The 25754-nt window shown below is 35.3% G+C and overlaps 1 protein-coding gene and 1 long non-coding RNA gene across 17 annotated transcripts in view; one reads left to right on the top strand and one right to left on the bottom strand.

The window, feature by feature from the left end:
• The window catches only part of CEP85L (centrosomal protein 85L), a 249318-nt gene that overhangs the window by 6684 nt on the left and 216880 nt on the right, over window positions 1-25754 (bottom strand). For 11 of the 14 annotated variants that reach the window (XM_011535811.2, NM_001178035.2, XM_017010846.2 and 8 more), the window contains 7 exons: window positions 24231-24410; window positions 16251-16403; window positions 14324-14478; window positions 12941-13058; window positions 12416-12466; window positions 3082-3189; window positions 1617-1848 (listed from right to left, as the gene is read on the bottom strand). In XM_011535811.2, the coding sequence (XP_011534113.1) occupies window positions 1617-1848; window positions 3082-3189; window positions 12416-12466; window positions 12941-13058; window positions 14324-14478; window positions 16251-16403; window positions 24231-24410 (997 nt within the window). Of the gene's footprint in view, window positions 1-1616; window positions 1849-3081; window positions 3190-12415; window positions 12467-12940; window positions 13059-14323; window positions 14479-16250; window positions 16404-23975; window positions 24411-25754 lie in introns of those variants that run through there. The other 3 variants (XM_011535810.3, XM_047418761.1, NM_206921.3) reach the window with 2 other exon arrangements.
• Window positions 4-24123, top strand: LOC105377971 (uncharacterized). Of its 3 annotated transcripts, none has more exons than XR_001743824.3 (5): window positions 4-85; window positions 13574-13629; window positions 14655-14719; window positions 17931-18014; window positions 19042-24123. It is a non-coding gene; the product is annotated as an uncharacterized LOC105377971 (long non-coding RNA). The 3 variants fall into 3 exon arrangements; XR_001743822.3 differs by lacking the exon at window positions 19042-24123 and adding an exon at window positions 18185-18273; XR_001743823.3 differs by lacking the exons at window positions 14655-14719; window positions 19042-24123 and adding an exon at window positions 18185-18273.

A 25754-nucleotide genomic window follows, 5' to 3' on the forward strand; every position in this document is an offset into this window, starting at 1 on the left:
GACAGGGTGAGTAAATGGAGCCATGAAGTGACTGGTTTTTCACAAATCAACTGGCTGGTAAAACTTTCACAATGCCAAATATAAGGTAAGGATTCTGGGGTCAAACTTTAAAGACTAGAAGGAGTATTGGGAGGTGGGCGTGGTAAGATTCACATTAGGATAGCTCTACTACTCTATTACTGAAAAACTTAACAAATGCTACCTTATGACAGTGAAAATGTAGGAGACTCTAAAGTAATTAAAAGGGTGACCAACTCTAAAATCATGAAGAAAGTGAGTTCCCTTTGTGTGTGAGCTTTGCTTCTTGCTCCCAAGAGATATTAAAGCACTCCATGTTCACCAGGCAAACTTCTCCTCTTCCTCGTCTGAGAGCGACACTGAACACCAACTACTCTGTGGAGTCTCCACAGCCCTTCCCACGTAGATTTAGTTGTTTTTTTCCTCTTGTGCTCCCACTGTCCTTTGTCCACATCTCAACTATAGCACCTATCAGAATGCTCTAATAATTTGGTTAATGTGTGGACAAGGACTGTGTTCAGGTTATCTGCATTACCAGCACTTACTTAGTGTCTGGACCATAGAAGGCATCTGATAAATGTTTACTCCGTGAGTGAATATACTTAAACATTATGTGTTTTTTCGATATCCACATTTGTGTATGTGTACAAATGTCTATGAAATGAAAGGGACATAGTTGAGCACAGATAATGTTTCATTTAACAAGTGATATACTTTGGTCAAGAGCATTATTTGATTTGCCAAAATAACTATTATGATGCAAAATGGTGGAATCTTTTTGATGAAACTAGAAACAAAATCAGTTTGTTTGAAACAAAACCAGTATTATTAACCATAATATTAGGCAGCTACTAAATACACGTTGGCCCATAAACCTTATTATATGGTCTTACTGCATTCCTATTTCCTTCCAAGTTCATTTCTTCTCTATTATAAAGAGACTAACATCCTGATTTGGAACCACGTACAGAGATGAGCGTTTCTGCAAAAGTAGCACAGAAAGAAAGGGACACTAGGATTATTACTGTGGCAGCTCCCACAATTATGTGTGGAGGAAGACAGAATTGAGGCCAAGAGTGAATGGGTGTCACATTAAGCCAGCAGGTACGCATGACAAAGGCAACAGATTTGTAGGCTGTGAAAACTGGCTCATGTGAAATCACTGGCACTCACGTGAAGCAGCTGCCATAGAACATATACTGCACTGGAAAGCAAAAATATTTCTCAAATATTTTACCAGTGGACAATATGGTTGGGTCACTTAATCTATACAACTAACACATGAAAGCAAATAGAAGGAATCATTATTTTTGGAAGAGAAAATGGGAAGTCACACCTAACTACCACTCTATTCACATATTTACAGATTCAACATAGGAAACATCACCAGGCATTCTACCAAGTGGCAGTTAATGTCAGCTATAACCCTACTCACTTCTTGCAATGAAGTAATAACAGGTATACATAAACCCACAGACTGATTCTAAGTAGGAAAAGAGATTACAAAAATAAACAGAGAAAAGGCAGTCGGAAGTTCCTGATTCATGAAGATAGGTTTCTAATTGCCACAAAATAAGGACAAGTCATCAGACACTTACATCTTATTCCCAGTAATAATGAAAGATTAGGCTCCTTGCCCTGAGCACGCTGATTAAGAATACTACACAATGCTTTCAAGTCAAACAAACAACAGGACATTTCCTTGAACAGCTGATCAATCACAGTCAAATCAAATAGTGGCCGTTTGGAAAGAACTGTCTGCTGCCTAGATTGGTCAGGTTCCTGGCCCTGATCCAATAAAGAGCATGTCTCATCTGTTTGTCTTTGGTTCTGCAAGGATAAAGAAAACAAACATCAGATTGTTAGAACAGAGGAAAGGTACTCAAAGCCATACAGGTTAACATTCTCCCCCAAGTCTATAAACAAAACGATGGAGTCATATTATATGCACATTAACCAAATTCAACTACATATATGCAGTGGGAAAAAAAACACATAGAAAAATAACAATTTAAATAGTGGAAATTGTTTCTCTGTGCCATCTGATGCTTTAGCGTATATCCAAGGGAGGAAACATAAATCCAGTCTCAGTTTCTAGGAGTCTCTCACGTAATAAGCATGTTGGTTGTGTATGTATTTTTCTTTTTTGGGCCTCAATCTGTCACCCAGGCTGGAGTACAGTGGCGCAATCATGACTCACTACTGCAGCCTTGACCTCCTCGGGCTCTGGTGATCCTCCCACCTCAGCCTCCTGAATATCTGGGACCACAGGTAAACACCATGATGCCTGGCTAATTTTTGCATTTTTTGTAGAGAGAGGGTTTTGTCACATTGCCTAAGCTGGTCTCAAACTCCTGGGGTGAAGTGATCTGCCCACCTCAGGTTCCCAAAACAAAGTATTAGGATTACAGGTGTGAGCCACCATACCCAGCCTGTATTTTTCTATAATGAGATTTATTCCAAGGATAAAAAGAACTAAAAAGTAACTTTGAACCTCACTCTGTGGTTTTTATTGTTAGTAGCAATAGTGGTTTAATTACTTTGAAACTACTTTTTGCATATTGGTGGGGGGAAGCATCTATGTTAATGTTGATAGGAACCACAAACTTCGGTGCGAGAGACAAAGAAATAACAAGTATAAAATCAAAGAAGAAGAAAAAAAGAAAAAACCAACAACTCTGAATTGCTGATCCCCAAAACTGCTACCTTCTTATCTTGAAAACTGCTAATTAAAGGTAACTTTAATTAGCTTTCCAATTGGAACTGTATTTCAGAATAACTCAATAGCCTGGGGTGATTGGAAAAAAACTTTTTTATAGATGAATGCCAGCTAATAAATATAATAAATATATACTGTACTATAATTATGTGAAACTGTATTCTAAAACACAAAATAAATAAAGGTTTGTCTTTTTATAATAATTTTGGTAAGAAACAATGGAATTAATTAACAGGCATATCAAAATCATGTCTTTAATCTGAAAATGCTCTATTAATATCTATAAAATAAGCATTTTATAGTGAATCATCCTTTCAAAGCAAAATTGAATTTCTTCTACTCACTTCAAGCAATGCTTTTGTTAATCTCTGTACATTTCTTTCTTTCTTTTCCAGCTCTTCCATCATCTTTTGAGTGGTCAGTTTCTCTTTAGAAAGCTTTCCTTGCATAGACTAGAATTTTTAAAAAAATTGGAAAGCAAAACAGGTTAACATGTAAAGAAAAATCTCAAACAGAAAGAAGTAGGAATGTTGGCTCTGAATACTTTAAATCTTCTTTCCTCCCCATCCCCTTGGAAGATGAAGCCTTCACTTTTAAACTAATCCCTATCAGTTAGAGAGTGGCTGAATCCAAATAAAAAAGAAAAAGAAATGCTGGTTTCCCAGAATACATTTGGATTTTTTTAAATTACAGTTTTTACCAAGGAAGTTTTTAATTTGTATAAAACATGTCAAATCTGAAGTTCCTACTTAATATGGTATTACAAACAGTTCTTATTTCATTAACTTTTTATATGTAGAGAGTGTATTAGCAACAAATCTATATTTTTGTTTTACATTTTGCTTACAGTTAATGAGATGCAAGATAATAAGATCATGATATCATCCCTATTTTCTATCATTTGAAACATAGCTCCCGTCTTTCATTGTATAGTAATCCAAGCAGTGAATATACTGTGAACTCTGGGTCAAAGGTCTATTATGGGAATTTGATAAGCTAATCTCCTTCTTACTCCTTATAAAATTGCAAATTACCTAGACATGACACTATTGTGAGTACGCCAAAGCAGCATAAAGGACATTTTGAGTCTTTGGTTAGTCTTTTCACCAATATATTAAAAGAAAAAATTGCCATACACCCTGTAGTTATTAGTGAATTCTAAGTGTTTCTATCAACTATTTTCCTTTTATTAGACCACAAAATCAATAAACATATGACCAGAAGAGAGGTTATCATTTTATTTCAGGTCTGTATTTAGTCTCAATTCTGACAATACTTCAGTTTGCTGACCACCTAAATAGCACACAATCTACTATAAAGATATTTTCCTCACATTATCTTTGGATGGAGTAAAAAAAGATAGCTATCACCATGGGTTGAAATAAGACTCCATAAATATAAAGCAGTTTTATCAGTAACAGATACTCAAACTTGTTGCTTTTAAATTTCATTTGTCTGCTAAACTCTGAAAAAAATATTACATTTAGTAACTCAGAAGTTGGACAGAAATGAATCAAACTCTATAACAAGTGTTTCTCCTTCTAGGGAAAAGTTGTTTTATATTCCACAAAAATGAAAAAAAAAAAAGCACCAAGTCAACAAGGGGCTCTCTGAATACGTGTATTATTGAAAACTGAAATTTCCTTTGTAACTTCATTAGATTGACTCAAATCTTATTTGATTAAATGAACATGGAGAGTTATTTACCTAGCTGAAGATCTATCCTTTCTGGCCTAACAAGATTATTTGGCTGGAATCCAGAATTCAACCTAAATTTTCTCAAGATTTGTGACGGTTTATTAGAATTACAGAAGAAGGGCATCATAGACACACTACTCAAACTCACATTCTAACAAAAAAAAAACTAAACTCGAGGGGTGTTTTCACAATATAATTATTATATATAACAGAATAATTATAATAATGATACATTGTAACAGAATACAGTCCTTTAAAAGATAAGAGTTTTATATTTTTACCAATTCAGAGTCATGTTGAATGTGACTAATAATTAGCTAATAAATCCAACTAATATGTCCCTATGTAAGACTGATTTTAATCAGTGCAGAAACAGGCAATCTTCTCCATCAGAAAAACTGAAAATGTCTGGCAGTATTGCCATTTATCACAAAAAGGAAAATCAGATTTCTCATATGTTGCTTGAGTTGAAGGGCAGTTATCAAGAAGCACTTTAATAGGTAAAAGACATTGCAGATAGGCTTATCCTGAAAGGACCAAGTGCTGTACAAATTGGTCTAGGATAATACTAGGTATGAGTGCTATAGTTGTCTGACAGTAACATTTCACCTAAAACATTAATTACTTCTCTATCCTAAATTGTATTAAGATATGTTTAAAAGATAACAAGAAAAATTCTATCAAGAATACTGTGCGTTATTTTATAAATACTTTTTGCAGAGCATTTTTTTGAAATCTCTTAAGCTCTTAAAATATACTTGCTCAAACTGGTAGTACTTTACAATGCATAAATGAAATATCTCATATTTTCTGAAACGAGTGTTTGGCCTTGTGAATTTTACAATAACTATTTATCATTCACTAGACATGTAGGGGATTAATAAAATTAAAAATTAATTTGCAAACACCTACAACAGCTCTCAAATTCTCAGTTTAATCATGACATTTAAAAATTCTGCCAAGGTACTAACCTACAAGGTCTTTATAATGATCATGTTTGAAGTTGAACAGTGGAAATAAGCACATTTGTTGTTTTAACGTAAGTATCCAGAAATGCCCCATTTACAAATAGCTTGAATGAGGGAAAACCAGGTGTGCCTTAGTCCAGATTCTATATAATCCCCAAACCCAATTTAAAAGGAACTATTTTGAAAGAAAATTTATGTTAACATTTTTACTGCATATATACACACATAAACATGCATACCATATAAGAAATTCACAGGGACATTCCTTCATGCAAAAATCATTGCCAAACACTGTTCTGTTCATTGAGTGATACATCAGTGAACAAACAGTCAAAACTCTTGGCCTTTGTGGAACTTTACTAGGAGAAAAAAGACCAAAAGAAATAAAATAAATATGCAAGTTACACAGTATCATGTATTAGAATTTGACTAGTGCTGTGGAGAACAGAGCACAGTAAGGGTCAGGAGACTGAAATCTCAGGTAAGCAAGGGCCTGAAGGAAGTGAGAGATTGTGTCCCAGAGATATCCAGAGTTCCTATCAGTACAAAGGTTCTGGGACAGATGGTGTCTTCTGTGTTTGAGAAAAAGCAAGAGAGCCAGGATGGCTGAGAATAGTAGGAGAAAGAGTCAGAGAAGGAAGACAGCATGCAGAACAGATTGTATAGGGCCTCAGAAATCAGTATAAGAACTTTGATTTTTATTCTGGAAAAAAAAAATGAGGATCCACTGAAGAGTTCTGAGCAGAGACATGATGTAATCTGATTTTTGTTCAAAAGGATCACTTAACCTAATGAGAGTATACTGTGCACAGGCAAGGGTAGAAGCATGAAGAAATAACCCAGATGAGAAAGGGAGACAGCTTGGAACAGGGTGGCAATGGAGGAGGCAAGGAGAAGAGGTCAGATTCTAGACATACTTTCAAGGTAGTAGAATTTGCTGTCAAATGTGAGGTAAGTGAGGAGTCAAGGATAAATCTAGGATACCTGGACTGAACAAATGGAAGGGCAGAGATGCCATTAATAGGAAATCTGAAATGTATAGCAGGGTGTTTATTTTGGTGGTGGGGAGATAAGAAATAAAAAAAAGAGCCTTTTTTAATGTTTCTAAGAATCTAAGACAATGTACAGCTCGAATTCCTTTCTTAAATTAGTTATCATCTTGTAACTTGATAAAACTTTAAAAACAATCTGCCTGGAGTTTTGCTTCTAGCATGACAGTGTGAGGAGCTCCACAGACCTACCACTCAATGAAATTGGTGAATATTATAATTAAAAATTTCTGGAAATGGTCCTAAGAGCATATAGCAAATGAAGAAACATTACTCAAGGAAATCTACTAAAACTCAGTAAGAAGAGTAAGAGACTGGTATTTGAAATAAAACTCTGCTTCACGAAAGGATTCTAGAGTAGAAAAATGAAACAAAACTCAACTCCATCTCTGACTTCTCACATCTCATTGGGATGGAAATTCTACTTCAGACTGACAGAGCCAATAACACACGGCTCCCTCTCCTCCCAGACCCTAGTTAGACAGTTCTCTTTCCAGAAAAGATAGGGCATCAACATTTATCATCCTAGCAAAGGCTGTTTTAGGCAAGTGCAACCAAGAGATGGGGGGCTCCCTTCTTCTACCTCAATCCCCTTATGGGATGGAAGCTTACATTGAGTGCAGAAATCCTGACCCTTGCCCCAGCTTGTGGGGCACTGGTTCTACGCTGGGAGAGGCAAGTCAAAAAGATGTAGGGCTGCTGCCAGAACTCCCTCCAGTGAGCGTTCAGCTACTAGAGTGGGGGTACCATTCAGAAATTTGTCATTGTCCCCACACCAATTAACCTGGCTTAAGAGATTTTGCCTGAGGAAAAGTAGGCCATAGAACTAGAAGCTCCAAATGTCTCTCTATAGGAATTCACTTCATTTGCAACAGTGTGATGACAAAGCCTTAGAGCACTCAAAAACATTGGAGATTGTCATGAAAGGCAGTTGACAGGATACTATTAGACCCATTGGCCCTATAGGCTAAATCCATAGACTACTTTCCCAGGGAAAAACAGTGAGATAGCTGGGAAGAATACTCCTGAGGTCAGAACAAATCTCAAACACTAAGCTAATGAACTGTCCCTTCAAAAGAGCTAGAATGGATCAGTTTGTGAAGCAATTTATGCCACAGGGCATTGTTGAAAACAACTGAATGATTGGCTACAATTAGTGGAGCCTAACAGCTGGATATGGTCAAGAGTCACAGAAGACCATATATACATTTGTATGAAATGTTTAAAATAGGTATATTTATAGAGATAGCAGGTAGATCAGTGGTTGCTTATGGCTGGGGAAGTGGATGGGGGCTTAGGGAAGTGACAAAAATGAGGCTTCTATTCGAGATGATAAAAATGTTCTAAAATTGACTATGGTCTTGGTTCCACTTATCTGTGAATATATTAAAAAGTATTGAATTGCACACTTCAAAAAAGGTGGGTGAATTGTAGGTGACATTTTTTTTTTTTTTTTTTTTTTTTTGAGACGAGTCTCGCTCTGTCCCCCAGGCTGGAGGACAGTGGCACAATCTTGGCTCACTGCAAGCTCCACCTCCTGGGTTCATGCCATTCTCCTGCCTCAGCCTCCTGAGTAGCTGGGACTATAGGCGCCCGCCACCACGCCTGGCTAATTTTTTGTATTTTTAGTAGAGATGGAAGTTTCACTGTGTTAGCCAGGATGGTCTCGATCTCCTAACCTCATGATCCGCCTGCCTCGGCCTCCCAAAGTGCTGGGATGACAGGTGTGAGCCACCACGCCCGGTGACTTATATCTTAATAAAACTGTTAATGCTTGAGTTCTTTGGCTTCTAACTTCTGGAAAAAATGTATTTTCTGGTTTATAAGTATATCTACCAAAATATGTTAAATGTGTTTGATGACACCTAAGTATCTCAGAAACTAAACTTGTTTTTTAAATTTAAACCTCAGTCTTTCTCTCCAGTTCCCACTCTTTGGTCCACTGAGCGTGCTGAGGATTGTAATGCTTCCTAAATGCTCTAGTTTTACTGCCAGACTATATGGCAAAGTTAGGGACTGCCTGAGGAACTTAATAATACATAATTCGAAATTCATCCCAGAGATACTGATTCATTAGGTTCACAATAGGGCCCAGAAATATATATCTTAAAAAGTATTACAAATAATGTGAGTATCCATATAGATTTGGTGACTATTCGCAGCGCTAACAGGCCCAAGAACATTCTTTCATGATTCAAGTGAGCTGTCTTCACTCGTACAACTCCCCCCCGCGACATAACTGATTTTTCAAGTTAAATCCACCTTTTACACATTTTTTGACATATCTTAATTATGCAACTATAACATGCATACAACAGATCTACGTGAACAGTAAAGACTGTTCTCTTTACAAGTACCAAGACTACAGTGTGTGCGTTTTTTTTTTTTTAAAGCTACTTTTCATAGAAGGCATTTGGCTGGTACATTTTTCAAAATTTAGTATTAACTTCTGATAAGAATACTTTTAGTTTTTCACCATCATAAGCAATTTTACAGAAGTAAATGTTTTCAAAATTAAACTTGAGAAAAAGAACTTTATTTCAAGACATAACACAATTCGGATAACAAAAAATAGGAGATAAACATCACACAATAATAATGGGAAAACATTAAAGCAATTGATATTTAAAGGAGTTATGTTCTACCTATAAGATATTCCATTGACTTATGATCCATTTTCCCACTATTTCTACTGAGGAAAACTGCTAGATGAAGGATTTATGAGATTTGCTAAAAATTGGAATAGAATTTTCTTAGGCTGTGGGAACATCTCGATGTGTTATAAATAGAACAGACTGTGTCACAGTTTTGAGACTGGTGGTTCCAACCACGGCCAAGTAAACAGTCTTAATGTCCTCTAACGTATTATTCTATCTTTTGTGATATTATGATCATCTATTGATGGCTGTCAATTCAGAAAGGCCATTTAAATGCCTAAGTTCTTGCAATTAGTAAACATTTTAATGTCAGAGAAAACAAGCACACATTACAAAACTCTATGTCCTCTGCCAAAAGACTACAATGATAACAGCTCACTGAAAAAGGCTTACGGATTTGAAATGCACTTTTGAGAAATAAGAAGGAAAGTAATGCCCAATGAAGAACTCAATCACATTCTGACTGCAGCCATATGTTCATGGAATTGACAAGCAACATTCTACCGCAAAATGTCTTTATATACTGTATAATGACAGAAGAAAAAACCTATAGGAGAAGCAGCCAGGCTAGCTATACTAGTTTTATGGATATAAATAAGGGCGACATTTCTAAAAGGTCAATGAGTAAACAAGGTATTCATGCCAGTTAACAATATGACCTTGACAGCTGAAAAAAACAGTAGATAAATCTGTATTTTTACAGCACTCAACTCAATTTCCAAATTAGCATATACTTTTACATGAAGTATTACTTTTTCTATATTCAACAACAAATATAGTATAACTAGTAGAGGAATGATTTCTCTCCAACTTCGAAAGCTGTGAATAAATAAACATGCCAGTGACCTATAACAGATAAGTATTTATTTGACTTTTGTGGCAAAAAAATAAACTATAGCTGTATTTTGAACACAGCATCTAAGTATGAAACAATGCCCTATTTTTTATCTCCTATAAATTGGACATAAAATGTACATAGCCTGGGATTTTTTTTTCCCTTTTGGGAGTAAATTTAAACTGTATGAATAACTTGCTTGTTCCCAAGGAAATGCAGTGCACCAAATCAAGACAAGTGAACTTCAAACAAATTTGGTGTTCTCAACAGTTTGCAAGGACATAAAGAGGCAGTAACACATGAAATTCTAATAGTACCAAGTTATCTTTGTCTACTGAATACTCTAGAATGGAAAAACCAAGCACTGTGGAGGAAGAAAGAATATCCCAACTATAGCGTCAGTGAGATTTTACATAAAATTAATACTATAGTGATAGTCAAAATGCATAATTTATATTAAAAATAATTGGGAGGTTCTCTGGTATCCTTAATTATATAGTGTTTTGTGTTATTTTGGATAGGCAAAGGTATTTGAAGAAATTCAAAAACAGAGCTATAGCATATGGAAAGGACATCATAATCTACATAGGTATAAGCTGACCATTCTTTACGTAAGTTGATGAGGAAAAATCAGGCAGCTTTAAGGAAGTAGAAAGTGAAGGGAATTGCTGTATTAGGTATATCAGCTTGATAATACACCCATTAATTATGTCCATTAACCACAATAGAAAGCCACAAGAATATTTTTTCAACCCAAAGTGTTCTTTTCAGTGTGTCCAATGCTAGGGAAATAATCAGTGCTCCTCTTTTAATAACAAGCAATATTTTCAGATTTTTATAGATATGCCTTTTAGAAAAAGGTCACCAAAAATGACCAAATACAAACAAAATTTGTCTTTTTAAATGATGAGGGGCCAAAAAATAACATGAGTTTAAAACTAGTAAATAATTTTCTCATTATGTGAGTCATATTCATCTCCAGCTTTGCTATTCAAATACCATCTTCACAAATATAGCTATTTTAGCCAGTTATCAACATTTATTGTCTGTCTCTGTGACCTGTATCTATAGATCTCTGTGTCTCTAGATCTGAAAACCTTGATGGTCAGAATGGGCAAATGAGATGCTAAGAACAAAAAAGAAAAGAAAACCAAAAAAGATAGCCATTGTTTCAAAAGACAACAGAATTAATAATTATAGTGTCTAGGCCCAAATATTTGGAAATAAATGCATCTCATTAATTTTACTTCAATTCTCTACATAGTTTGAATAAAAGATTTGTGTTTGCTGAAACAATTTAGTAACAAAGAACAGTATGGCCCATAATTGCATATTCTTCTACATATTCATTTATGTATGGTCATGACATATTTACATGTGACTACAGACTTGGTTAACATATAAGAGTAAATTGCAGTAAGATGCCTCCACAAATGGGGGAAAATGCACATTTCAATGAATGCTAATATATACTGAACACCTATAATGTGACAGTATGTGATAAATGAAATCTTACAAGTCATTAAAGTTTCAATGCCAAAGTTCAAGTGTCGATTATTCTTAATTTAGATTGAGATAACTTGTATTAGATTTACTTCTTGGAAAACGTGCCCAAGTGAAATGGAAATTCCTTGAATTATGGTCCAGCATAAGTCACATAACAATAGCTGAGGAAATCTAACAATCTAGAGGTTCTAATGGCTTATGGAACAGCTGAAGTTATGTTTGTAGGAATATAAAATAAAGTTTATAACCTCTGTCAATCAATCCATCAGGCTCATACATTTATTGATAAATAATACAACCAAAAGACAAAGAAAGAAGACTGTATATAATGGCAAATCATTTACCACTTTTACTTTGATTTTAAGAAGTAACAGTAAAATTAGGGGTATAAAGCTAAACATTTTTCAGCAAAAGATGACCAATGACTTCCCATCACACTACCTCACATTTCCTGCACTCCAGGCTAACAGACTTTGTGCTGTTCTTAGAGCATGCCAGGTACATAAAGGGCACTTGTTGCTCCCTTTGCTTGGAATGCTCTTCCCCTGGATGTCTTCGTTCAGATCCCTGTTCAAATATCACCTCTTCAGGAAAAACATCATGACCACTCTATTAAATGTAGCACTCTCTAGCCTACTTAATTTTTTAAAATAACATGTTTAACAGCAATTTTTTTCATAGCACCTGGTATTCATTATATTGGTTTTGTATTCTCTCCAACTCACCCCACTAGAGTGGCCAGGGATGTGACTTGTTCACTGATGAATCTTTACAATTTTTTAGGATTAATTTATCAAACAGCAAAAACTGGAAGATTAATATTAAAGAATTTGCAACTTTACCTCAGTGCTATAAATATTATCTTTCCATACGATATATGCATGCTTTAATATTTTCAGATTAAATAAGCATTAAGAGTATATCAGAATATAGCTAAATTAAAATAAGCACAAAATATTCCTTACCTGAATTTCTAAAATCATTCTGTCAATCTCATCTTGTTGGCTGTCTATTATCTAAAACAAAATAAATACATCTGATTCAAATAATTTTTACATCGCTTCTTAAAAGTACCAACATTTCAAGAAAACAGCACAGAAATTTATAAATTTATTTTTTAAAAGGGTCTTTTTAAAAAACTGAAAGTATCCTTATGATTTGGGTCACACACGTATAAAACTACAAAAGTCTTCCTCTAGTTCTCAATAAAAGTTTTCTCAAATTTATAAAATTTTTAAGAGTAACTTTGAGACAGACTGAATAATTAAGGAAGGAAAAAGATATCCTTTTGTTTTGGCTTTTATTTCAATTATTTAATTTTGTTTCAATTGCTATGGTCCTTTCAAATAAAAACATTCAAACTAGAAACTATGTAAGTGATTAAATATTAACAAAATATAAATCACATAAAATAGCTATAAATTATGTATCTATACACACATATCCACATAGCATAGATTTCACGTTTATGATCTAAGGTATCTACTGACCTTACTAGCAGTCTCATTTTGTTGTCTGAGATTATCATTTTCATTCTGAAGCTGTTTTGCATCTAACATGGGAAGGCGGATTCCATCTTCAAGGCATCTTTCTACTTTTTGTTGCAAACTATTTCAAAAGACAATTATATGAAGAAAATAAGCTCTATTTGCTGATTTTGGTAATGATTTCAACATAAATGATTATTGCTTTATTAAAAAATATTATAGACCCTAAAAATGACATCAAGACCCACAGACAGTATATGAAAAACTGTTATCTATAGTTCATAACAAGTAAGAAGGGTCCATAGTTAGCTAGAGGCTGATCATCTTTTCAGAAATGGCAAATTTGAGACCAGAGTCCAGAGTTGCTCAGTATGTGACATCCTTAGGCTCCGATGAAGTCCTTCATTACCCAAATCTGAGCTCTGAAGTCTAACTCATGTTCTTTCCTTTTCCTCTAAAAGCAGGGTTCCTTGATTAAGATGATCATTGCAGGGAACCTAAGAATATGGATCCACATCTTTTGTTCTTTATTCTAAGCTCAGCAAAAGTTTGCTTGTAAGAATAGCTGTTGCCTAAATCAGTAGAGTTGCATTTCTCTTTCATTTCTTTTCTTTTTTTTTTTAACTTTTATTTTAGGTTTGGGGGTACACGTACTTACAACTGTATTAATTGAGACCCACGAGGCAAGAGAAGTAAGTAAATCTGGAAGATACATGGCAAAACTGCTGTACCTTTTACTTGCAGTAAAGTTAGAAATAGGAGCCAATCACTTCAATTTGATATATTCCATTAAGGAGTGCAGTTTGAGTATTTTACTGGCCCCTTTTTCGTTATTTAGAATTTTTACTTTTTTTTTTTTATAAAGCCATTAGGTAAAGGGTTTGTATTAATATTTTCAGTCTTCATTTGTATGAGTTTTTATTTTTACTATTTTCAACAGAAACTTTTGGCAAGATATCAATATATTGCTTCAAAATGTTAAATTATAACTGAGATAACCTGTTTCAATGAAATTATGCTTCTAGTTCTTAATACAGGTTGAACATCCCTAATCCAAAAACCTGAAATCTGAAATGTGTCAAAATCCAAAACTTTTTGAGCATGGACATGATGCTCAAAGGAGATGCCCATGGCAGCATTTCAGATTTTGGATTGTCAGAATTAGAAATGCTCAGTGGGTAAATACTTGGCAAATATTCCAAAAGCTGAAAAAAATCTTAAATCTAAAACATCCCTGGTCACAGGCAGTTTGGATAAGGGATGAGCATCCTGTAGTACATCTTTAAATTAAGGAGAATAAAATAAAAATTATAAATTAATTTAAGTAAAATGTTTTATGAAAAATACGAATAAAATAATGTAGAAGGATTCAGAAAATTTTCTTACCTCTGAACGGTAGTTACTAACTCCTTTTCTTTCTTTTTCTGGCATATTAACTGTGTCTCTTTATCTTGACACTGCTTTTTGATCTCTTCAAGTTTTTTTTCTGTATCTATCAAAGCCTCTTGTAAATTCTTATTTTTTTCTTCCAGAATCTGCAGCTAAGGAGAAATGTTTTACAGTTCATTACACATGAAATATTAAATACGCTTCTATTAGAAACTGTTACTGTGTTGGCAAGGATTAACAGACTTGTAGCTAAAAAAAAAAAAAAAAAAGAATCACACTGTATTTTATCTAGAGTATTTAATTCTCCATCTCTTCCTCTGTGTGAAAGGCACCTAGAAGAACAGAATTACAAGGAAGAGAATGGGGTTAGAAATTTGTAGAAGACCGAGAAAGGTTAATATTCTCATTTTAAATTTATTTTACTTTTATTGTAATAAATATATAACTCTATACTGTCTTAACAATTTCCAAGTGTATGACAGGTTGAGGTTAAGTACATTCACATTGTTGTGCAACTAATCTCCAGAACTCTTCATCTTGCATAATTGAAACTCTATATCAATTAAACAACTCCCCATCTATCTCTCCCTCCATTTCCTGGTAACCAACTTTCTACTTTCTATCTCTGTGATTGAATTCTTAAGGTATCTCATTAAGTGGAATCATACAGTATTTGCCTTTTTGTGACTAGCTTATTTCACTTCACAAAATGTCCTCCAGGTTAATCCATACGATAGCATGTGTCAGAATTTCTCTCCTTGTTAAGGCGAACAGGATTCCACTGTATGTATATACCACCTTTAGTTTATCCATTTATCTGGTCATGGACACTTGGGCTACTTCCACCTTTTGGCTATTGTGAATAATCACATTATAAACATGGGTGTACAAACATCTGTTCAAGACCCTTAACTGCCACCCCAGTGGATGTTAGGTATTTTCTGACATATTTTCTAATACCCATTGCCCTCTGTTCCTGCTCATGCAACCTCCTGCAGTCCTTAATTTCCTGCCTGACTTTAATCTCTCTTAGTTTTTACAACTTATAAATTAATGTAAAATAAACAGAGAATGCAACATAGGTCTTAAAGTATGCAGAGTGACACTTCATAGATTAGATTCTTGAGTGGGGGTAACTTTACCCCCAGAAGACATTTGGAAATATCTGTTTACATTTTGGGTTTGGGATAAACGAGAAGGAGCACTGCTATTGGCACTTAGTGAGTAGAGGGCAGATATGTGGATGCAGAAGTACACCCTTCAAAGATCAAGGCACACCCCTGTAACAAAAAATTATCTGCCTCCAAATGTCAATAGTGCCGAGGTCAAGAATCCCTGGCTTAGAACAACTTTGGGAAGAGACTGAAGAGTAGATCTAGTGGATTTATAAATAAGGTTTCAAGAGAGTGGCCCTCACCTCAGTTAGGAGAAAGACTCTGAGGTATTGTTAAGGAAAAAAAAATAAATAAAAGAAAAAGTCAGAGGAGTTAATTGAAGTCATAGGTCAAGGTATAAGAAAAATATATATATATAAAGGTTAAGAAGAATGAAGAAAATATCTAGAAAGATAGTCAACAAAAGGTCTTGTCGAGCCTTGGTGAATCCTAGAGACTGTGTTGGAAAGCACCAGAACTGGGGGTGTGTGCATGCATGTGTATGGGGTAGAGGTTGGCAGACTGGTTTAGAAACTAACTTCTACAGTAGTTAAGAGAGTTACAATACAGGATCAATAGGAAGGTAATCACTTATTAACTGACAAGAAAGATCTACTTATGCATGCTTAGATAAACAAAGTTTCTTATTAGAATTAAGTCCCCAAAACAGCAATTAAACACATAGATTTAACTTATAGTTAGCCAAATTTCTAGAGTCAAGTTAACATGTTTTCATGTCATTTAAAGATAAGCATTTTATTTCATGTTACCTGTAGACTCTGACTCTGTACATCATCTAGAGTTGGAAGATCAGCCAGATACTTTTCCAAGGTCTCAATTCTTCTCTGCTTTTCTTTGTTTTGTTCAGATTCCTTCTGGCATTTCTTTTTCAGACTACTGATGTATCGATCTCTAGTTTTAAGCTAAAAGCAAACAATTATGAACCTTCAGTAGTTTTCAGTCATTAAAAGATATAACAAAACCAACACTTTAATATTAGACACCATTGAATTCACCAACAGTTTCAGGTTATAGCGAAGGCCACTAGCAACTCAATTAAGATTTACCTTATTTCATTCTAAGATTTACACTTGCCGGGTGTGGTGGCTCATGCCTGTAATCCCAGCACTTTGGGAGACTGAGATGGGCTGATCATCTGAGGTCAGGAGCTTGAGACCAGCCTGGCCAATATGGCAAAACCCTGTCTCTACTAAAAAAATACCCAAAAAAATTAGCTGGGCGTGGTGGCACGTGCCTGTAGTCCCAGCTACTTGAAAGGCTGAGGTATGAGAATCGCTTGAACTGGGGTGGCTGAGGTTGCAGTGAGCCGAGATTGTGCCACTGCACTCCTGCCTGGGTGATAGAGCGAGACTTTGTCTCAATTTAAACAAACAAACAAAAAAAGATTTACACTTAAAAAAATTTATGTCACTGAAATCAACAGTTTAGGGAATATTTGCTTTTACCATGGACGGCATCCTATAAATTGTCATCAACCAGGGGGCAGTAATGACATAGTTTTTATTGCCTGCACATGTGCAAATTTGGTCAAGGCTGTTCATATCTTTGTGATTTCAATATTGTCATATACATGTAGAAACTATGTGTTGAGTTTAAATGATGTCTAAAATGCCTAAACAATGTTACCTTACAATTTAGTATGGAACAATGTTATTGGGTGCCCAGACAGGCACAGAAAAAAAGCCTTTGAAATCAGTGAAGTATTCATCTCTGAAGGAATGACTCCGATTTCTTAGTTTTTGCATAACTATACCCAAATGCTTTATGGGAACTAAGAGAGGAAGATACTACAAGTAACTAAAACTATTTTGTTACGTTAACAGACTTGCAGAGAAATTGCTTATAGTGTACTAAACAATGCAACTAAAGCTGGAAGAATACACCAAATACTTAGGGGCAGATAATGGACTAGTGAAACCAATTCATACCTCAAGCAACACTAGTTTAAGGCACTGTGTCATAATTGAATTTGCAGCTTATTTTCTTTCTAAAAACCACAAAATAAAGGTGTCTTACTATTGATGTCATTTTAGGATTGATAAAGTATGGTAACCGAACACTTATGTCACACATGGTGTGTACACACATGATAATGATTCTAGTAAATCCCAATTTATATAGGCTGAAAGTCAGATTTTCATGTACTTTTTACCCCCTACTACATGAAATATATCATCTATAAATTTCATATCTCATAGTCAAAGCTCTTTCATATTTACTCCTATTTACCTTAAATTAACAATCTTCCAACCATTTAATCCTCTTCAAAACTTACAGGGTTCTAAAATATTTTTACAGTGTTTTCCCATATTCACTGGGAAAATAACTGGCAATAATTAGCAGTAAGATGGATTATTCTTTCAAACTTTATTAAAGCTAACACTTGTTCACAGTCTAGTTTCTTTCATGTATTTTCTAATTTTTTTCAGGTCTAATGTATAACAATTTTTAAAACTTCATGTGGAAAAATTATTCATTTCACCAGTGACATTAGGATCTACTTATGACCTCTGGTAAGGAGCAACACTGGTAAGACAAACACATCCTATTATTTATTGGGGCTTTCTTAGGATTAAAGGTAAATGTGCTGGTGTGACAGTTTACCCTGTGATCTATCAGAATAGAAAACCTTACATACTGTTGGCACTGGTGGTGACCATATAATACAATTCCCTTTTTACAGATGAGGCCCAAAGATCTTTAGTGACTTAACAAGTCACAAAATCAGAAGTGGAATTTGAATCTAGATCATCTGACTGAAAATCAACTTTCTTTCAGTTCTTTGTTATGACTCATTATCAGGTTCTTATTTTAGTAACCAGCTGTGCTTGGTCCCCATCAACCAAGCCTGCTCTTGCCTTAGCAAATGACCCTGTACATTACAGAGGTAAACATGATAAACCAACCTATGTTTACTTAATGCTCTCTAACTTGGACTCAACTGTCTAAATGTCTTCAATGTGACAAAATGATGCCTCAAAAAGCAATGACTGGAATAGGTCTGTCTGTGTGCAAAGATGTCCTACTTTTCTTCTTTTTCTTTTGGTTGTCCAACTCTCTTTGCTGTCATGTCAAGCTTGCTTCCCTTGATCACAAATTGCTGCCAACACTCTCCTACGAGACACTGTCTCTGTTATTTGTTGGTCACATGTTGATCATACATATTCATTGGGTCTTGGGTTTTTTTCAGCCTGCTCACAGATGACAAGCTCTTTGTTTTGTTTTTTGGTGTTTCATTTTTTTTTAAAACTGCCAAGTTTTGTGCTGTCCCATACAAACAGAGGTTACTGAAGTCTGAACTGCATTAATTACCTCCAGATAAATGAGGTGTCACTAATAAATCTTCTCTATTCTATTAATACAAGGCTAAGTTTTTCTTTTCAAAGAGGTATGACGCAATACTGATATCATTCCTAGAAGGTAATAGGAAGGACATGTTTTATAAGAAGTTCACAAAGTTACTTTTCTTTATTATCTGGCTTTTATAAGAAAGAACTCAAAGGTAACATTATTATTACCACATTGTTTTTTCTGTCATAGAATCAGTCTTTGATAAGGATTACAGAGTAAATGCCAAAAGAAACAATATGATCCAATCTTGTGTGGACCCAAAGTGCTGTTTGTTGATTTGTTATCAAGGAGCCTGCTCTTCCTAATCTATGCACTCCCTTGAAGAACTCAAGTCATCTCCATGTGCTCTGACACAAACTCTGCCCTCTACATCTATCCCCTCTCCTCAAATTTCTCTGGTATGTACATTTCCATTCTTAATTGCCTCACTCCCACAGAAGCTACTCCTCTTCTTTTCGGAGAGTAACTCTACCATATTTGCATCTGTTACCAACCCTTCCCGAACTTGCTCCATTATGCACCCACTCTAACATCTTTGATCTCTCTCTCTCTCATTGTTTTTTCCCTAGTCTACCTTACTGCTTTCTCTCCCATCCTGGCAAAAATTACCTGAAAGAATTCATTCAACATGCCAGGCACCATGAATGGTGCTACATACGCCACAGAGACACATTCAAATACAATCCCCCTGCCTTCAAGGAGCTTAGAGAGAAATATAAAAAATAATGATTATACAAATTGGGTTGAGCCCTGGAAAAAAAGAATAAAATGCTATAAGCATATGAAAGGAGGAGTAGAAGGGAAAAATATTAAGCTAGATTTGAGCAAATAAATAGGTGACTTGAAAGTGGGAGAAAAAAATAGCCAAGTATTTACCATGCAAAAAGGCCACTCTGTGTAAAGATCCTGATACCAGAAACAAAGCCTGAGCTGTCTGAGCAACTGTAACACCCAGTGTATCAATACACAGTTTATCAGAGGAAGATTGGCAGAACCTATGGATATATAATTAGGCAATGTGTCTCAGGCCATGGGAAGAATTTGATTTATATTTTAAAGACCTGGAGAGTAGTGTCAGCAAGATGGCAGAAAAGCAAGTCTTGAACTCTCCTTCCCCAAACCAACATGTGGGTTCAATTAAAAAAATAGTAAAACCCCCAACATGGACAAATTCCCTTTTTAAGAAATCCAAAAATTAGTCAAGAAGCTATTGTACTCTGGGTGAATGCAAAATCAGCCACATGGAAGCAATTAAGGAAATGTAGGACACCTGTAATCCTACCCCCAATACAGCATATGATCAGAAGGAACCTGTTGGGAAAGAAAATAGTTGGATCACACATCCAACACCCCAACTTTTCTGGGTGCTGTTCAGAAGACTGGCTTCTGCCTTGCCTGTCTTGGAACACTAATAGGACCATGACACTCTTGCTGCCTGGGACCAGTGAGATCAGACCGGTGAGATCAGAGATGATGGTTTAGGCTAGCAGTTTCCACAGTCCACAGCTCCAGCTCAGCACTCCAGCAATGAGTGAAGAAACTCCAGATTCAAGTTTCTCCCTGTGCAGAGAAAGCAATGGACAGAACACCCAACAATCTGACTTTTCAGAAGTCTGGCCAAGGGACTGGCTGAAATTCTGCTTGTCTGAGTACTGATAGGACCTAGAATACTCCTGAAGCCTGAAGGATGCTAAGAACAAAAAAAAAAATTAGTTAAACTAGTACAAAGATATGAAAAGCCCCCCTCTCTCGCCAGACTGATTAGTGAGGGTCTTCTCCTGTATAAGGCTAGTCTCTGAGGAGTGGAAGTGATAGCTATTTTATATAATATACAAGTATCAACTTAAAGAGGGAGGAAAAATTAACACACAGGGAAATATGTCCAAAACAAACAAAATAAATCTCCTGAAACCAAATCTAATAAAACCAAGATACATGATTTGCCTGAAAGAGAATTCAACATACCCAACATAAAGATGCTCAATGAGGTCAGGTAAACAATGCATGAACAAAGTAAAATTTCAACAGAGATAGGAAATACTTTACCAAACAAATCTTGGAACTAAAAAATATAATAACTGAAATAAAAATTCACTAGAGAGGGTCAAAAGCACTCTAGATCAAGCAGAAGAAGAAATAAACAAACTCAAACACAGGTATTTGGAAATTATCAAGTCAGAGTAACAAAAAGAACAAGGAATAAAAAAGTAAAGAAAGCTTGAGAAACTTAAAAAACACCATTAAGCGGACAAATATACACATTGTAGGAGTCCCAAAAAAGGAAGGGGGAGAAAGGGAAAGAAAGCTTATTCAAAGAAATAATGACTAAAAACTTCCCAAATATGTGTGTGTGGGAGGGAGAGGCAGGAGGCATGGGGAATGGACATCCAGATCCAGGGGACCCAATGGAACCCAAATAAGATGACCCCAAAGAAATATGTACAAAGACACAGTTAAATCAAATTGTCAAAGTCAAAAAGAGAATTCTGAAAGCATCACAAGAAAAATGACCTGTCACATGCAAGAGAACTCCAATAAGACTATGAGCAGATTTCTCAGAAGAAATTTTGCAGAGAAAGTGGGATGATAAACTTGCACTGCTTGGGCAATGGGGAATGGGGGTAATTGTCAACCCAGAATAATGTAAGAAGAAGTGTTCTTCAAAAATGAATGGGAGTGGCTGGGTGTAGTGGCTCACTCCTGTAATCCCAGCACTTTGGGGGGCCAAGGTGGGTGGATCACCTCAGGTCAGGAGTTTGAGACCAGCCTGGCCAACATGGTGAAACCTCGTCTCTACTAAAAATACAAAATTAGCTGGGCATGGTGGCACGTGCCTGTAATCCCAGCTACTCGGGAGGCTGAAGCAAGAGAATCACTTGAACCCAGGAGGCAAAAGTTGCAGTGAGCCAAGATCACACCATTGCACTCCAGCCTGAGTTTGCAAAAAGTGCAAAGCTCTGTCTCAAAAAAAAAAAAAAAAAATGAGAGATAAAGATTTTCCCACACAAACAAAAGCTGTGATATTATAGTTGATTACCTACCCTTGTACTATAAAAAATGTCAAGAGGAATTCTTCAAGTTGAAATAAAGGGATGCTAAACAGTAATACAAAAGCATAAGAAAGTACAGTTGTCCCTTGGTATATGAAAGGGATTGGCTCCAGGACACCTCATGTATAACCAAATCCACACATGCTCAATTCCTGCATAGAAGACATACAAATAGTGAACAGGTATATGAAAAGATGCTCAACATCACTAATCATCAGGAAAATGCAAATCAAAACCATCTCGTGCCTGTTAGGCTGGCCATCTTTTTTCTTGAAAAAAGAAAATAACAAATGATGGCAAGGATGTGGAGAAAGGGGAACCCTTGAACACTTGGTGGAAATGTAGAATGATACAGCTGCTATGGGAATCTGTATGGAGGTTCCTCAAATAACTAAAAATAAAACATGATCAAGCAATCCTACTTCTGGATATTTATCCAAAAGAATTGAAATCAGGATCTCTGAGCAACATTTGTACTCCCATGTTCCTAGCAGTATTCACAATAACCCAAGATGTGGAAACAATCTAAATATCCAGCAACAGGTGAATGAGCAACATAAATGTTATATACACACACACACACATATATACACATGCACACACACACATACGTGTGTGTATATATATACACACACACACGCACACACACACACAAAATGGAATATTATTCAAACTTTGAAAAGAGAAATCCCATCATTTGTGACAAGATGGATGGCTCTGGGGGATATAATGCTAAGTGAAACAAGCCAGTCACAAAAAGGCAAATACTACATAATTCCACTTATATGAGATAAATGAAACAGAGAGTAGACTGGTGGTTGTCAGGGACTGGGGAGCAGGGAAGTGGGAGTTACTCTTCGATGCATACAAAGTTTCAATTACATAAATGAATAAGTGCTAGAGATCTGCTGTACAATATGCCTATAGTTCTGAATTATACACTCAAAAATTTGTTAAAAGGGTACATCTTGTATTAAATGTTCTTTCTACAACGAAAAGAGAAAATATAATGGGATGGCATAAATTAGTTTTAACCAAAGAAGTAAAATGACTGGATCCTTTGTTGTTAAAAGTTAAGTCCTTTGCGCTATCAAGAATGGATTTGGGAGGATGTGGAGAAACTGGAATTCCCAACACTAGTAGTGGGAGTATTAAATGGTACAATCACTTGGGTAGTTTCTTGTAAGTTAAATATCGACTGTACAAACCCTATGATCCAGCAATTCAACTACCAGGTATTTATCCAAGATAAATGAAGACACACATAGACAAAAAATCTTGTACAAGAACGTTCACAGCAGCCTTATTCATAATTTCTCCAAAATGCTAAAAATCCAAATATCTATCAACAGGAGAATAGATACACTGTAGTATATCTTTATAATGAAAAACACTACTCAGCAATAGATAGAAACTGATACATGTAGCTATAAAAATAAATCTCAAAGACATTGAATAAAAGAATATATACCATGTAATTTCATTAATATGAAGTCCATGAAAAGTCAAAATTATACTGATAATAATCAAAAAGCACACACACACCACATTTTCTTTATCGATTCTTTGCTTAATGGGCATTCAGGCTGGTTCCATATTTTTGCAATTGCAAATTGTGCTGCTATAAACAAGCATGTGCAAGTGTTTTTTATGTAATGACGTCTATTCCTCTGGACAGACACCTAGTAGTGGGACTGCTGGATCAAATGGTAGCTCTACTTTTAGTTGTTTAAGGAGTCTCCACGCTGTTCTCCACGCTGTTTTCCATAGTTGTTGTACTCGTTTACATTCTCACCAATAGTGTAAAATCATTCCCTTCTATTTCATACCAACATCTATACACACACACACACACACACACACACACACACACACACACACATATGCATGCATATCTAGTGTTCCTGTCTGTGTATTTGGTTTTTAGCTTCTTATTCTGAATCAGGGGCTTCAGTTTAATAACTTAAGTTGCATCATTATTAAAGATAGGCCAGCTTCATTTACCAACCCTTTATGCCCAACATGACAAAAAAAATGAAATCATAGACTCAATAAGGAAAAGGAGAACAGTTATTTGGTGTAGGCAATTAATTTTTTAAAGATTTTACTATTTGTTAGAAAGATATACAAGAGCATTTCTATCCTCAAAGAAAATCCTTGGATTTCTGCAGACAGCAGAGGGCTTCTCAAAAGTTACTACAAAATTAATCACCTCCACATAAATGTATACATAACCTGGCATGACACCTGACAGGGTAAATGACAGACAAATAATTATATGCTGAGGAAATGTTGTTGACCTAATTCAACTTTATTAGAAAAACCTACTTTTTCCTCTAGTTTCTTCTTCTCTTCACTAAATAGGCTTAGTCTTTGTTTGAGAAACTCATTAAGCTGTAAAACTTCTTTCTCAGTAGATGCAAGCTTTTGCTCAAATTCCCCTTGTTGGGAATGGGAAACTGATTCCTCTGAAAATGGTGTCTGGAGTGAAGTGTTCTCATATTGTGGCTGTTAGGAAAGAAAAAAAGGAGGTAAGACTTTAAAAGTTTGTCTTGAACAAATGTGAAGAAATTGGAAATGAAGTATAATATAAGGAGTACATATAGGCTACATGAACAGACACACCTTGATTTAAATTCCAGCTATCTTGCTTCCTAGTTATGTACCATAATTAAAGTAAATTACTTACCTTCTCAAAACCCTGGTTTTCTCATCTCTAAAACAGAAACAATAAAGCCTACTTTGCAGTGTTTTTTGAAGAAAGATAAAGTATGTAAGGTTTCCAGCATATAGGAGAAACTTCATGAAAGACAGCTATTATTTGATTTTAAAAGTATACTTCAACATGTAAATAGTACAGTATATACATTAATCATATAAAAGTGAAAGTTCTAAGTAAATAAATAAAAACTAAAGAAAAATTTCTTCACAGTTAATCATTTCCAGCTAATACTAAATTCAATATGTATTAATAGAATGTTTCTCTAACTAGAAAGTAAGATCCATGAATCGGGGATTCTTGTCCATCTCAAAGTGTCCATCTTATATTCCCTATTGCATAGAAAAAAATGGCACAAAATAAGTACTCACAAAATAATTGTTGAATGAATAAATGTATTATTGCTTCTATGAGCAAGGCTTTGAAGGAAATTCTTTTCAAGGGGAAGATATTCCCTCTCCCCCATGTAGGATTAAAATCTGGAAGAGGAAGGCAGGAAATACAAATATTCCTTCAAACAAATCAGCATGTGGTTAAGTGCTGTAAAAAGATATCAACAAAGTACTGTAAAAGCAAAGAAAGAGGTTATTTTTCCATTTATTTAAAAGATATTTACAAAGCACATACGTTAGGCATTGTGCTAGGTGCTGGGGATTCTACAGTTAATAAAATCAGATCCCACCAGTTTAATGTGTCATACACAAAAAGACCAAAAAAAGACAATGAAACTAAGTGCTAAGATAGTTACATGTGCAGTAGCTAAGGGAGGGTGTTACAGAAGTAAATTTGAACTAGGCCTTGAAGAACTGATACTTTCCCAAAAGGTAAGCATGCAACTCAACCATTACAGAAATAGCATTTATCATGTCCAGGCTATTTCAAAGATGGCAGACTCACCCTTTACAAACTCAAATTTTAATCAGAGACATGAGAAGCCTTTAGATGATTGTAATATAGAACAGAATGAATATGGTAGCCAAATAAAGGCCATGTTAAGTACAAAGTATTGGGAGAAAGTAGGATACATGAAGACATTGAGCGAATGAGGAAAAAGGCTTTTCTGGAGAGGTGGCTTTTGAGACAGATTTTGAAAAACAGATTCTGGCAAGAATGGAAAAAGGAACAGGCATTCT

The sequence above is a fragment of the Homo sapiens genome, chromosome 6 (assembly GCF_000001405.40).
Source record: "Homo sapiens chromosome 6, GRCh38.p14 Primary Assembly".
NCBI classification, from domain to species: domain Eukaryota; kingdom Metazoa; phylum Chordata; class Mammalia; order Primates; family Hominidae; genus Homo; species Homo sapiens.